This window comes from Homo sapiens, chromosome 2 (assembly GCF_000001405.40).
Source record: "Homo sapiens chromosome 2, GRCh38.p14 Primary Assembly".
Classification (NCBI taxonomy): Eukaryota; Metazoa; Chordata; class Mammalia; order Primates; family Hominidae; genus Homo; species Homo sapiens.
In genome coordinates this window covers 25,405,567-25,420,685 of record NC_000002.12, presented here as the reverse complement: position 1 = coordinate 25,420,685, position 15,119 = coordinate 25,405,567, and the positions used below count along the sequence as shown (strand labels likewise).

The window sequence follows — 15,119 nt, the reverse complement described above, 5'->3', positions numbered from 1 at the left end:
CATGGTGAAACCCCATCTCTACTAAAAATACAAAATTAGCCGGGCATGGTGACACATGCCTGTAATCCCAGCTACTCCAGAGGTGGAGGTTGCAGTGAGCCCATATCGCACCATTGCACTCCATCCTGGGCAACAAGAGCGAAACTCTGTCGATAGACAGACAGATAGATAGATAGATAGATAGATAGATAGATAGATAGATAGATAGATAGATAGATTGATTTAGATGACAGAGACCATTTCTTTGTTTCCAGTGCTTTCTGCATAAGAGGACTAAATAAACCTGTATTGAATTAATGAAAAACTGAGGTCAAGAATTCTTTTTTGAATGACCTTTCAGGGTCTCCAAACAGTTTCCAGTTTACTGGGGGAAGTTGTGTATGTATGGGACTCACTGAAAAAAAAAAAAAAAAAAAAAAAAAAGACTGTGCCTGAAAGCAAGTAGACGGGGATACAGTTCCAACATGTTTAGTGTGGAGAGGGGACCAAATAAGAAAAGAACCTGTAGTGGGCAGAATTGCTAGTTGGGAAGTGATGAGGGCAGTGGGTCTCAGACTTGTATGCACCAGAATCAGAGACAAGATTGAACGCATTGCTGTGGCCCACCCCTAGAGCTTCGGTTTGGTGGGGATAGGGTGAGGCACAAAGTTTACATCTCTGACAAGTTCCCAGGTGATGCCGATGCTGCTGGTCTGTGTTCCATGCATCAAAAACCACTTGCCTCGATAAATGTACCTAAACACATGTGAATATCGTGAATGATGAATATAGAATTATTATTACAATTTCAAGTCATGGTTGCACTTCCTCTTTCAGATTCCCCTAAATAGCTATGTGAACCTTAGGCAGGTCAGGCCCTCTAGGCCTGTTTGATCTATAGTAAGAATGTTGGCGAGGTGGTTTCTAAGGTTCTTTCCTTCTAGCTCTAGGAGTTAGCATTGAATCACTCACCGGGCCGAGGCCTGCTGCTTGCTTCGTCCTCTGATGCTCCTGTGGGGGATGGGGCCTTTGATCTCAGCACCTGTGGGCCTGGCCTGGTTTGCCTGATTTTTCTATCATTTCTGACCAATGTTTGTGGTGATGGGCATTAATGGGCATTAATTTCTCTCCTTTTTTCCTCTGCCTTTTTTTTTCATCTTCAACACTCCAGGAGGAAGAGCAAAAGCAGGCAGTAAGTGAACTTCGGAATTTCCCGCCGGACTCTCGCTCCTTTGCACGTTCTTCCTTTCCTCATATAAATGTTTCTCCTCTTCTCCCCGCACATCATCTCTGAAGAGGGTTTTATGTGTAAAACCCCCAGCGGTTCTCCCCATGGTGTTGTAAAATGGCCTAAAAGTTCAAGGCATGTTTACCCAGTAGAGCATGTTCTTACTTAAAACCAGAGCTTGTAAGTACCCATCTGTTGTGCGCATTGAAGTGTGCATGATTAGCCAGGCTACCATTGCATTTTCCTGCTCTTTCATTCTCTGTTGTTGTGTGTCTGGAGTGATTTTAATTGCTTGAAACAACTTTCAGGGTGCTGGGGTGACCTCATGTCATGAATGAATGTGCATGAAAATGAGGACTTCTTTTGCTAACTATAGATGTCCTGCAGTCTCGACTAGGCTTCTGGATGCTGGGGCTGTGCCAGCCTCCTTAACAAAATTACTGACGACGACTGAGACACTGACTCCACTTGCAATGATTTCCTGTTCAGAACCTACTCCAGACGGAGCTCGGGTTTTTCTGAGCTGTGTGGCTATTGCATGGTGTTTGGGGGAGGTTTATGTTTGTTTCTGTTTATCCTGATAGCCACTGACCCACACAAGAAAGTCAATTGCAGGCTTATCTACAATATTAGCACCATATGTTTATATAACATAGTAAGATTTCAAAGCATACATTTTTTAAGCTGAAGCTGAGTTTTCGTTTACCTTGGAGCTTTTTTATCCTTTGGGAGATAAATACAAAACGTTTAATTTTTAAAATTTGCCTTTTTTTTTTTTTTGAGACGGTGTCTCGCTCTGTCTCCCAGGCCAGAGTACAGTGGCATGATCTCGGCTCACTGCAACCTCCGCCTCCCAAGTTCAAGTAATTCTCCTGCCTCAGCCTCCTGAGTAGCTGGGACTACAGTCACGCACCACCACACCCAGCTAATTTTTGTATTTTTAGTAGAGACAGGGTTTCACCATATTGGCCAGGCTGGTCTCGAACTCCTGACCTCATGATCCGCCTGCCTCAGCCTCCCAAAGTGCTGGGATTACAGGCGTGAGCCACCACGCCCAGCCTACCCATTTTTTTAAAAAACACAAATGTATACATGTTTTAGGTTAGGAATATAAAACATTATACTTATAATTTCTAGCTAGGAGAGCAATGGGACCATAGAGTAAAGGCGAGAGGAAAGGAAAGAAGAGATCAGTAGTGAGGGGAGGAGGTGAGAAGAGGGTACGGAGGAGACAGACTGTCAGGGGGAAAGAAGATGGCACATGGCATCAAGAGTGGCCGACAACCCAGAAATCTGATGGCTTTCGTGGAACCAAAGTGCACTTGTTTTGGTTTTTCCTAGGTTTGGTTTTGCTTTTTTCTTTATTCACACAGAGTTTATTGCTTCCATCTCTGGCGTTTCTGCATCAGTAGGTACACTTACATGGGCAAAGCTGAACAGGATGCAAATCAAGCCCAGCCATTACATGCTTCTTCCAGGAAGTGACACGCATCACTTCCTCTCCATTTCATTGGCCAGAGCAAATCACATGACCACACTTCACCTCAAGGGGGCTGGGAAGTCTAATCCTCCAGTTTATCTAGAAGTCCCAGAGAAGCAGATGTTGGAAATACCTCCCCCAAGTAGACAAATGAGTGAGACTGTTGGAGGGAGAGGAAGGAGACTACTTATCCTTCCAGCTCCTGATGGTCTCATCCCCTTGTTATGAAGTATTCCCTTCCTGATGATCCAGGGTGTCACTTCACCTGTTGTTGCTGACCACTAGCATCCCCTCCTTCTCTTCAGCCCTCCATACCCCAGAGATGCACTTTGCAGCTGCAGCTACTTGCTGCAAACCTACTTCCAACAGTCTGCCCAGACTAACAGCATCTTCTGATCTCTCTCTGCGTGTGCCAGCTCCAAGTGAGCACAGACTGGAAACACCCGACACCTCACCTGAAAACTCTTTCAGAAGAGGGCAGGCATTGTGGATATTGGTCTTAGTCGTAGCAGTAGAGCTTCCAGTAGACATTTAATTTTTAAAATTTTTATGGATTACCATGTAATCCAAGAAACAGGAATTGCCACTGCTGTGATATTAGTTCTCAGGTCAATTTAAAGCTAGCCTTGAGCAGACAGGGGATTAAATAACGTGTCCATTTCAGTGACCTTTCATTCTGTGTGAGATCACCATCCCCTTGAAGTTGGCAAAATGAGAACCTAGACTGCTGAAGCCTGCCTCTAATGAGCCACTGTAGGTATATCTTGGGAGTTCTCCATGGCCAGGGACCTGAGCTCATGTCCAAGTCCTTACAGTCTTATAGGACTGTCCATAGCGTGAATTGGTACAATTTGTTTTTTCCTCAGCTTTCCCCACCATGGTATGAGGTAAGAAGTGCTGCTCTGTTGACTTAGATAGAAATATCCTTCTGTCCACTTCACAGGTTTAAACTGGACCCATGTAAGTTCAGCTCTGAGGCTCAAATTTGGACTGAATGACTTTACGTAATTCAATGTTTTTCAGATGTACAACTGAAGAGACTATAAAGCTTTAGAACTAGCTTCTGTTTAATCCCCACCATTATTGAGTGACAGGCCAAAACATAGGCGTATTTAACACAGAACTATGATATAACCCTAACCCAACCACCCTTCCTTCCTTCCTTCCTTCCTTCCTTCCTTCCTTCCTTCCTTCGTTCCTTCCTTCCTTCCTTCCAGGTTCTGGCTGGTGTAGTTTAATTTCTTTCCTATCAAAATGTCTTACCCTAAATGGGTAAGAAAATAATTGTATAACTTGTTAGCTTGCAGGTAGGGAAAATTTTTTTCTTTTTTCTGAGACAGAGTCTTGCTCTGTCACCCAGGCTGGAGTACAGTGGTGCGACCTTGGCTCACTGCAACCTCCGCCTCCTGGGTTCAGGTGATTCTCTTGCCTTAGCCTCCCGAGTAGCTAGTATTACAGGCGCCCACACTGGGCTAATTTTTGTATTTTTAGTAGAGATGGGGTTTTGCCATGTTGTCCACACTGGTCTCGGACTCCTGACCTCAGTTGATCCGCCCGCATTGGCCTCCCAAAGTGTTGGGATTACAGGCGTGAGCCATCACGCCCGGCCAAAATTTTAAAAAGAAAAGAATTGTAAAACACTTTTAAAATGAAGAGTTTATTAGATGTGCTTCCCAAAACTGGCTCTGTAAATCCATTATAGAGAACTTTTGATAGTGTCCACCTTCTTGCTTCATTCCCCTTAGGGATTTACTGCTTACTACTACCAGGATCTCTTTCTACCCAGATAACACTCTGACACCAAATGTGTAGGTTTCTTACACCAAAAAATTCAGTTCTCTGCAGACACCAGCTGGGTGTCCTACGATTTAATTCAATTCTGACACTACCTGGAGTTAGGGCAGAGCCCACAGGTTAAGGGCTCTGTCCCACAGGAGTGCCTCACACTTCAGACACCAATCACAAGTAGTGGTTCTTCAGATTACCCACACTTCTGTCCAACTTGGCTACAAATCAGGGCTCCCACAACCCCTTCCTCAGGCTCAATAATTTGCTGTAATGGTTCATGAAACTCTGAGAAGCACTTTACTCACTATTACTAGTGATTTTAAAGGTTATTATAAGGGCACAGGTGACCATCCAAGGTGACGATGTACATAGGGCAAGTTCCAGAAGGGTCCAGGAGCTTCAGTCCCCATGGAGTTGGGGTATATACCACCTCCTGGCATATAGACATGCTCACCAACCGGAAGCTCTCTGAACCCCTCAGTTAGGGTCTTTATGGGGGTTCCATTATGTATGCATGATTGATTCATTCATTGGCCATTGGTGATTAACTCAATCTTTAGCCCCTCTCCCCTCCCCAAGGCCTGGTGGAAGGGGCTGAAACTTTCAACCCTCTAATAATGCCGTGGTCTTTCTGGCAACCAGTCCCCATCCTGAAGCTATCCAAGATTCCCGAAGCCCGGTCATCTCATTAGCATGCAAAAGACACGCATATCACTCTGGAGATTCCACGGGTTTTAGAAACTCTGGTCCAGCCTGGCCAACATAGTGAAACCCCATCTCTATTAAAAATACAAAAATTAGCCAGGCATGGTAGCATGCACCCGTAGTCCCAGCTACTCGGGAGGCTGAGGCAGGAGAATCGCTTGAACCTGGGAGGTGGATGTTGCAGTGAGCCAAGATCACGCCACTGCACTCCAGCCTGAGCAACGGAGCGAGACTCTGTCTCAAAAAAAAAAAAAAAAAAAAGAAGCTCTTATGCCAGGAACCTGGAATGGAGACCAAATATATATTGGTTATATCATAGTATCACAGGGTTACTTTGGCATTTGGGAAACTTGAGAGAAATGGGCAATAACTGTTACTTTAAAAGCTTGGGTGCTGTGATTCTGCCTTCAGCCTCAGCCACTTTTGTGGTGCTTTGCGTGGCATCAGTACCTCCACTGATTCTTCTGTCTTTCCTCTCTCTCTTCCCCCCTCTTTCCCTTCTGTTTTTCTCAGATCTAAGGGTTATAATGGAGGGGCAAACTGCCTGGCTATTTCAGATAAGACTTCACTGAGTGACTGTTCAGCCCATGATTTACCCTGCAGTTTAACAGGCTCAGGAATTAGGTCGCATCAGTTGAGCGCGGGTCACTTAGGCCTATAATCATCATCAGACGGCAATTAAAGGACCATTTCTGCCTTTTTCACTATTACATCCCCCGCCTGTAGCCCAGCCTGCCATACAGTAGATACTCAATAAATATTTGCTGAATGATAACCAATATTAACCAATTTTATAAGATTTTGACTTATACTCTGTATGAATTAATAATTGTATTAATTATAAGGGACATAACTAGTTGACGTACCTATAGCAGTGATTTTGCTCAAGGCACTCCCAGATAGATCCATTCAGGAGATCCACTCAGAAATATCCTTTATCAAAAAGAATCTGGGCCAGGCATGGTGGCTCATGCCTGTAATCCCAGCACTTTGGGAGGCCAAGGCAGGTGAATCACGAGGTCAGGAGATCGAGACCATCCTGGCTAACACGGTGAAACCCTGTCTCTACTAAAAATACAAAAAATTAGCCGGGCGTGGTTGTGCACCTGTAGTCCCAGCTACTCAGGAGGCTGAGGCAGGAGAATGGCGTGAACCCAGGAGGCGGAGCTCACAGTGAGCCGAGATCGCACCACTGCACTCCGCACTTCAGCCGACAGAGCGAGACTCTGTCTCCAAAAACAAACAAACAAAAAAAAACTACCATCAGAGTGAACAGGCAACCTACAGAATGGGAGAAAATTTTTGCAATCTACTCATCTGACAAAGGGCTAATATCCAGAATCTACAAAGAACTCAAACAAATTTACAGGAAAAAAAATAACCCCATCAAAAAGTGGGCAAAGGATCTGAACAGACACTTCTCTAAAGAAGACATTTATGCAGCCAACAGATACATGAAAAAATGCTCGTCATCACTGGCCATCAGAGAAATGCAAATCAAAACCACAATGAGATACCATCTCACACCAGTTAGAATGGCGATCATTAAAAAGTCAGGAAACAACAGGTGCTGGAGAGGATGTGGAGAAATAGGAACACTTTTACACTGTTGGTGGGACTGTAAACTAGTTCAACCATTGTGGAAGACGGTGTGGCAATTCCTCAAGGATCTATAACTAGAAATACCATTTGACCCAGCCATCCCATTACTGGGTATATACCCAAAGGATTATAAATCATGCTGCTATAAAGACACATGCACACGTATGTGTGTTGTGGCAATATTCACAATAGCAAAGACTTGGAACCAACCCAAATGTCCAAAGACTTGGAACCAACAATGATAGACTGGATTAAGAAAATGTGGCACATATACACGATGGAATACTATGCAGCCATAAAAAAGGATGGGTTTGTGTCCTTTGTAGGGACATGGATGAAGCTGGAAACCGTCATTCTCAGCAAACTATCGCAAGAACAAAAAACCAAACACCGCATGTTCTCACTCATAGGTGGGAATTGAACAGTGAGAACACTTGGACACAGGAAGGGGAACATCACACACCGGGGCCTGTCGTGGGGTGGGGGGAGGGGGGAGGGATAGCATTAGGAGATACACCTAATGTAAATGACGAGTTAGTGGGTGCAGCACACCAACATGGCAGATGTATACATATGTAACAAACCTGCACGTTGTGCACATGTACCCTAGAACTTAAAGTATTAAAAAAAAAAGGTGTCTGATTTCCCAAGAAAGCAAATAATGAAAATAATTTTTTTAAAAAGGAATCTGAAAAAAATTTGTTACCAAAAAAATACAAACACCAAGCTGATTAGTATTATTATTAATTATTAATGTTGTTATTTCTAGCTAAAGAAAATATACTGATACATGGCATAAAAATCACCTTGTCTTTTAAAGATAATAATCTATAAAATGCAGGATATCTATAGTTATTTGCATCGTTTGAAAATATTTTAAATATTGCTCAGTAAAAGCCCAGTGCTTACAGTCAGAAATACGGTTGTAGGATTCATCAGCATGTTACAGAGGGACACTAGGGTCACCAGAGACTGATGAAGTCCCTACTGGCAATGGTGTTTATGACCATTGGTGCATTTGAGCTATGGGCCTCTCTGGCCTCAATCAAACAATATCCCAATCCTAGTCTGGAAACAGTTCAGATGTACAAGTTCATCTAGGAACATTTTAGGGTTCCATTTTTCCCAGTGACTCAGTGCACCATAAAATTTCACTGCTGGATCTCTAATACCACATTCACTGAGCTATCCAAGGAAAGGGGTTCTGTTTATTCATGAAGGATTTGTTTCCTCCAACATTTATCTGATCTCTCCTATTAGAAGTTAATTATCTAATAATGATCATCTGGCTTAAAGACTTAAAAAGACTTTATATATGTTTAATAGAACATTTTATATAATGATCATCAGGCTTAAAGACTGTAACTTTAGACAGTAAAAGTTATGTAAGGATAGGAAGCTCCTTCAGGGTGGCCTTGGCCCAGCTTAGGTAGTGGGGCAGTGGGCCAAAGGATAATATACCTGGCACTCTGAAAATAATGTGATTAGTGGAATCTTGGGGAATTGGCCAAGAGAACTTTGCCACACTTGGGACCTTTCCTTTTACTTCAGTGAGTTTGGCTATCACGTGGGATCTTGCCATCATGCCCTATCTGATTTCCAAGACCCAGACAAATACCCACCTACAGCTATACCAAAGAGAGCATGGTTTGGCCTGGCTCCAGGAAGCCCCCCTTTCTGATCACAGCTCTACCAAATATACCTCAAAGGAAGGGCACTTAATGTTTAGTTAGCAATGGTCGACCCACAAGGGCTCACATAAACCTCATGAATACTAACTTTGTAAGTTTAAGAGAAAGTACTTTCAGAAAAACAAACCTATGCAACAAGAAAAAGAAACCTCCTCTTTGGCCATTAAAGAGATTGTTGGTGAACCCCTTGATGTTAGCATGCCTCATGGGTCACGTTCCCTTCTTAGCCTTTGGATACAGTCTCACTGGGAAGCGATTCAGATTCACATGCTTCTGCAATCTTCTGGGCTCCGTGGCTCTTAATCTTCCGAAATAGAAGCCTGAGTCTACTTCCCAAAAGGCAAAGGATTGCCATTCATTTATTTATTTAGCGGTGTTTTACTATATATGTTCAAGACAGTGAGCCTGGCCTTTTGGAGGATAAAAAGAGAAATCGTACACAAATACCACCATCAAATAGTCTGAAAGTTATTTCATGGTTGACATGATACCCTAAATGCAGAAACACAAGCCGGGCCAGTGGTATCCCGGGCCTCAGGCACCACTGCGGCCCTCCTAAGTTGGCAAATGGTACAGATGTCTGTTGGTAAATGAGGATCGCTGTGCTATACGTAGGACTCTCCCACAAACCTTTATCCTGGGTCGCAGTCCCAGGATATGTGCATAGACTGTCTGCTACTGCTGGCTCCCTCCCACACATGGCCTTGCAAGAGTTGGCAGGGTGTATTCATCGGTCTTGGCACCTGTACTCACCGTAGGGACCTGGCAGTTTGTTGTTATTTTTTTTCCAAAAAGAGGAAATATCACTATAATACTAAAAATAGGTTTGGTTTTTCTTTTCTTTTTTTTTTTTGAAACGGAGTTTCACTCTTCTTGCCTAGTCTGGAGTACAATGGCATGATCTCAGCTCACTGCAACCTCTGCATCCCGGGTTCAAGTGACTCTCCTGCCTCAGCCTACCAAGTAGCTGGGATTACAGGCGCACGCCACCACGCCCAGCTAATCTTTGTATTTTTAGTAGAGATGGGGTTTTGCCATGTTGGCCAGGCTGGTCTCAAACTCCTGACCTCAGGTGATCTGCCTGCCTCGACCTCCCAAAGTGCTGGGGTTACAGCCATGAGCCACCGCGCCCAGCTATGGTTTTTCTTTATGGTTAAGTATAAGTCTATTTGAGCCCAAAGCTTGAGGATGGCCCCCCAGGAGCAAAGATTCAAATTGCCCTGAATATACATTCTGATTAGCAGCAGTTACAGTGGGTTTAAAAAAAAAAAAAAAAAAGAAAAGGCAGTTCCTAAGTTGTTTACCAAGAACTTACATTAAAGTAACATAAGCAGGGCATGTGTTCTCAGGATCTCCTGAGGGTTGTGTCACAGGCCAGATACGTTTTAAAAAAATAATAACATAAGCTATTGATTATCTATACATTGTTCTTTTTATCGCACATTCCAGGAACATGAAGCTAATGAGTGAAGCAGCTAGTCAGTAACAAAATGCCTTTAAACCATTGCCCCCCCGCCTCGTCATGGCAGGGTGGCGTGACTGAAGCCCCATACCTGTGTCTCTGGGGACCTGATAAAGTTTGAATACCTCATATAATTCAGACTTCCCCGAGTTATTTTTGTTCTCATTTCCCCTCTTTTCATCAAGATCCTTCTGGGAAAGCATCATAGATGAACAAAAATGGTTTTGGTTTCTTTTATGTTCAGGAACTTACTCTTGCATACCCAGAAGGTTCATTTCCAGATGGTCCTGTCTTGCGTGGTGGGGATGGGGGATGGGTGTTTGTATTTCACTCCCCCAAAACTCCCTGAGCACCTAACAAGAGTCCGAGGATACAAGAGAAAAGTAGCTTTGGGGTGTGTGCCACACCCCCCAATATTTTTCATCACTCATCAATGTCAGGCTGAGAGATTTCCTTACCTACTTCCTAAATTTCCCTCCTGTACTATATTTCTGTCTTTTCCTCTCCTGACCAGAATGCACACAGCATATGAAAACCATCCTTCAGGGCCTCCAAAAACATTATCTCCTCAGCCAACTGGAGAAATTCTTCCACTGGAAGAATATTGAATTCCTAGGACACACTGCCTCCCCCAGAATACTACAGACTGAATCTCAGCAAAGCATTAACAGAAAAGGATGAAGAAAAAATGATTTGTAGGCTTGGAGCCTAAGAATCTAGGGAAATGATGGGTGTCATTTACTGAACAAGTGAAAATAGAGACATGATCTGGGTTAGGAGGGGACTTTGATCTGATTTTGGACATGCTATTATGTCCCATAGCCAGGCAGTCAAGCAAAAAGACCTGCTAGGTATTTGGACATGCGCAACTGAAATTTCAATGGGAAAACAGGGCTAGCAATGTAGACTTGGAACCCTTCAACACAAAATGAGGATTGAAACCATAAACGTGAGCCTTAGGGAAAACCCACAGTAGACAAAAAGAAGAAAAAGGAGGCAGGAGAAGGACCGTCGGTTCTCTTGGAAGCCCAGATAGTTGCAAGAAGGAGGAAGTTAGTGAGACAATAAGACAAGGAAGCCCATGAATTTGACAATAAGGAAGTTATCAGCAACTTAGGAAAGAAAATGTTCAATAGAGTAGTAAAGTGTACCCAACTCTGAAAAGTGGGCTTTGTCCTGTCCAACCTCCTCAGCACCACCTCCTGTCAAATAATGTCACTCCACTGAACAAAGATGTAAATCTTAAATCTGTGAATTACACATGAATGGACTGCCCTTCTCACTAATCGAGTCTTGCCAGCTAAATCCCATTTCTTTTTCATCTAAACAAGCACGTAACCTTTACAAACCTCATTTTCCTCATCAGTAAACTTCCAGCTCCACAGTTTTTGGATCCTTTCATCATTGTACCAGTTGGTACTCTGGAGAAAGGCTATAAACCTAGAAGGGTCTATAGAGATCTATTTGGGTCCTGGCCTATAGAGGAATGAATGAGTGAATGAATGAATGAATGAATGAATGAAATCCAGTTGGGTTTATTTCACTGATTTCTCCTTTCCTGACTTTGAAATCCTGTGGCCCTTACTTCATTGTCTGGGTTTTCTTTCAATAACTTCTTCCCCAGGGTTTATTCATGCCAGCCTCCCACCTGCCACTTTTCCAGACAGAAGAAAATATCCTAAGAAAACATCAGCTGCATCCCTGATGCCCTTCTCCTGTGGCTCACCTGCGTGATTCTTGGCCATGTCTCCAGCAGGACAGGTTTCCCTGGCATTCTTCCTCTCTGTTGTGCCTCACCTCAGCATCTTCTTTCAGCATGGGATTGTTTCCATAACTTCACTCTGAGAGCATCTGGAGGCATTTCGTCAAATCATGAAGCTGTACCAGTCTCTAGGGTAACAGGTTTTATAGCTGACCCTCAGGTTGGTTCTGATGTTCCATAGTAACGATAGTGCTAAGGTTTGGAGCGTCCTTCATGGAAAAGAACATCTGCTTAGTTTCAGCTAAAAGATGCATGTTATAACAAGTTCCATAGACTCTTACACTCTTCTCCATTTACTCCTAATCATACTTTGGCAGTATGCATTTGGAGCTGCAATATAGATGCCCTGATGTTTAAAAAAAGAAAAGTAGAAGGCTATTTTATAAAATTATAGGCAATGAAGTTAACTGCAGCTAAAGTGGTGCTTTTTTTTTTTTTTTTTTTTTTTTTGAGATGGAGTCTCACTCTGGTGTCCAGGCTGGAGTGCAGTGGTGTGATCTTGGCTCACTGCAACCTCCACCTCCTGGGTTCCAGCGATTCTCCTGCCTCAGCCTCCTGAGTAGCTGGGACTACAGGTGCACGTCACCACACCCAACTAATTTTTGTTGGTTTTTTGGGGGAGGTAGAGATGGGATTTCATTATGTTGGCCAAGCTGGTCTCGAACTCTTTTTTTTTTTGGAGACAGAGTCTCGCTCTTGTTGCCCAGGCTGGAGTGCAATGGCACGATCTCGGCTCACCGCAGCCTCCACCTCCCAGGTTCAAGTAATTCTCCTGCCTCAGCCTCCCAAGTAACTGGAATTACAGGCATGCACCACTACACCCGGCTAATTTTTTTTGTATTTTCAGTAGAGACGGGGTTTCTCTACGTTGGTCAGGCTAGTCTCGAACTCCTGACCTCAGGTGATCCACCCACCTCAGCCTCCCAAAGTGCTGGGATTACAGGTATGAGCCACAGCACCTGCCCAGTCTCAAACTCTTGACTTCAAGTGATCAGCCTGCCTCAGCCTCCCAAAGTGTTGCTACCGTGCCCAGTCAAGTGGTACTTTGTTAAATATTTTTTTTATTACAACAGCTTTTGGGGTACAAGTGGTTTTTGGTTACATGGATGAGTGATTTAGTGGTGAATTCTGACATTTTGGTGCACCCGTCACCCAACTAGTGTACATTGCACCCAATATGTAGTTTTTTATCCTTCACGCCCCTCCCAACCTCTCCCTTCTGAGGCTCCATAGTCCATTATATCACTCTGTGTGTTTTTACATACTCATAGCTTAGCTCCCACTTATAAGTGAGAACACACAGCATTTGGTTTTCTATTCTTGAGCTACCCCACTTAGAAAAGTAGCCTCCAGGTCCATTCAGGTTGCTGCAAAAGATATTCCATTCCTTTTTATAGCTGAGTAGTATTCCATGGTGTATATATACTACCACGTTTTCTTTATTCACTCATTGGTTGATGGGCACTTAGGTTGGTTCTGTATCTTTGCAGTTGTGAACTGGGCTGCAGTAAACATATGTGTGCGTGTGTCTTTTTCATATAATGACTTCTTTTCCTTTGGGTAGATACCCGGTAGTGGGATTGCTGGATCAAATGGTAGGTCTACTTTTGGTTCTTCAAAGAATCTCCATCCTATTTTCCATAGTGGTTGTACTAATTTACTTTCCCACCAGCAGTGTATAAGCATTCCCTTTTCACCACATCCATGCCAAAGTATATTGTTTTTGGATATTTCAATAATGACGATTCTTGCAGGGGTAAGGTGGTATCTCATTGTGGTTTTGATTTGCATTTCCCTGATGGTTAGTGATGTTGAGCATTTTTTCATATGTTTGTTGGCCATTTGTATATCTTCTTTTGAGAAATGTCATGTCATTTGCTAAAGTGGCACTTTTATTATAATAAGGATCCATGCCAGCTCACCAGCTCTGCACAGATGGCTAACCATAAACCCTTCAGTACTTTTATTATTATGTATTATTAATTTAAATGTATATATAATTTTCTGTTAATTGCTTTCACATTGGAAATTTCAACTCCAATTTTTAACCTGCTCAGACCTCAGAAAATCAAGAGAGATTCTAGGAGACTCTCAGATCTGTAGCCACCCCAGGACATCCCAAGTGTGCAGAAGATACGGCAGTCTATTCTTGGGCCCTTTGAAGGTCTAACTAACCTGAGGATGCTGGCTGCCTACCCTTCTTTCCACAGCAGCTCACCACCCAGGAAAATAGCCCTGGGCAGACCATCCTCTGTAGGACCTCATGACTAAGTCACCCTCAGCCATCCTTCTCATTCTCAGCATTAGTGACATTCGGGGCCAGTTAACTCTCTTTTTGCAAGTAGTTGTTGTATGTGTTATAGAAAAACATATGTGTTTTTTTGGTAGAGATGGGATTTCACTATGTTGGCCAATGTTGGCCAAGCTGGTCTCGAATTTTTTTTTTTTTTTTTGAGACGGAGTTTCACTCTTGTTTCCCAGGCTGGAGTGCAATGGCACGATCTCGGCTCACCGCAACCTCCGCCTCCCAGGTTCAAGCGATTCTCCTGCCTCAGCCTCCCAAGCAGCTGGAATTACAGGCATGCACCACCACACCTGGCTAATTTTTTTTGTATTTTTAGTAGAGACAGGGTTTCTCCATGTTGGTCAGGCTGTTAAGGATGTTTAGCAGCATCCTTAACTTTACCCACTAAGCACCAGTAGTAGCCTCTACTCTCAGGGCCCTAGCAGGTAAAATTGCCCCCTTGTTAATTGGAAGCCCTGCTCTGAGTCCAGAGAACCTTTCCCTGTGATACAAATATGCGCCTCCACGGCATTCTCAGAACCCCTTATTCTGAGGTTTGGCTATCGGAAGGGTGGGCCCCACAGATCCCTCCTCTGCACGTATTTCCTGCTTCTGCTGATGCCGTTATCAGCACCCACCATATCCCTGCCAGCCATCGCCAGCCTCCTGCTCTTCCCTCTCAGTTGCCAACTTCAAGTCCATTTTTTCTCCCAAAAGTTGCTCTCCCTCTTTCTATTCCTATACCCCATTCCAGCCTCCATTATCTGTCACCGGGTTTTGGAAAAGCCACTTTATTGATAGAACCCCTGTCTCCTGTCTCTCGTTTCTCAGTCCCTCTGTGCCATTGCCCAGAGCTTGATTCCTGAGCACAGACCAGACTGGCCACATCCCTCCCCTCCTTAGAAACCTTCACCGGCTCCTCTTGCCTTTGCCTGTAGCAGGAGTCAGCAGGCATTTTCTTAAAAGATTAGACAGTAAATATTTCAGGCTTTCCAGGCCAAACCAGATATTATGTAGGTACTATATAACCATTTAAAATGTAACCATTAAAAAATGTAAAAATCATTCTTGGCTCATGGTCTGTTGAAAAAAAAAACAACAACAAAACAAAAAGCAAAACTGGTGGTGGAAAAAAAAT

General features: G+C 43.6%; 1 protein-coding gene across 30 annotated transcripts in view, besides 3 other annotated features; it reads left to right on the top strand.

Moving 5' to 3' along the window:
* Positions 1 to 15,119, top strand: part of DTNB (dystrobrevin beta) — a 296,335-nt gene that overhangs the window by 252,892 nt on the left and 28,324 nt on the right. For 16 of the 30 annotated variants that reach the window (NR_147180.2, NM_001351393.2, NM_001351392.2 and 13 more), the window contains one exon: positions 1,151 to 1,171. The exons of 13 other annotated variants lie outside the window; for them this stretch is intronic. Coding sequence is in view for 16 of the 17 variants with exons in the window: in NM_001351393.2 (NP_001338322.1) it covers positions 1,151 to 1,171 (21 nt within the window). In the remaining variant the exon portion in view is untranslated. Of the gene's footprint in view, positions 1 to 1,150; positions 1,172 to 5,693; positions 7,260 to 15,119 lie in introns of those variants that run through there. One more of the 30 variants, NM_001351389.2, reaches the window with a different exon arrangement.
* Positions 661 to 1,340: an enhancer, noted in NCBI's record as "active region_15456". NCBI's record gives its function as "activates an Ori minimal core promoter by ATAC-STARR-seq in GM12878 lymphoblastoid cells {active_cell/tissue: GM12878}" and the evidence as "EXISTENCE:reporter gene assay evidence [ECO:0000049][PMID:35858748]".
* Positions 2,768 to 2,817: a silencer, noted in NCBI's record as "silent region_11261". NCBI's record gives its function as "represses an Ori minimal core promoter by ATAC-STARR-seq in GM12878 lymphoblastoid cells {active_cell/tissue: GM12878}" and the evidence as "EXISTENCE:reporter gene assay evidence [ECO:0000049][PMID:35858748]".
* Positions 10,157 to 10,276: an enhancer, noted in NCBI's record as "active region_15455". NCBI's record gives its function as "activates an Ori minimal core promoter by ATAC-STARR-seq in GM12878 lymphoblastoid cells {active_cell/tissue: GM12878}" and the evidence as "EXISTENCE:reporter gene assay evidence [ECO:0000049][PMID:35858748]".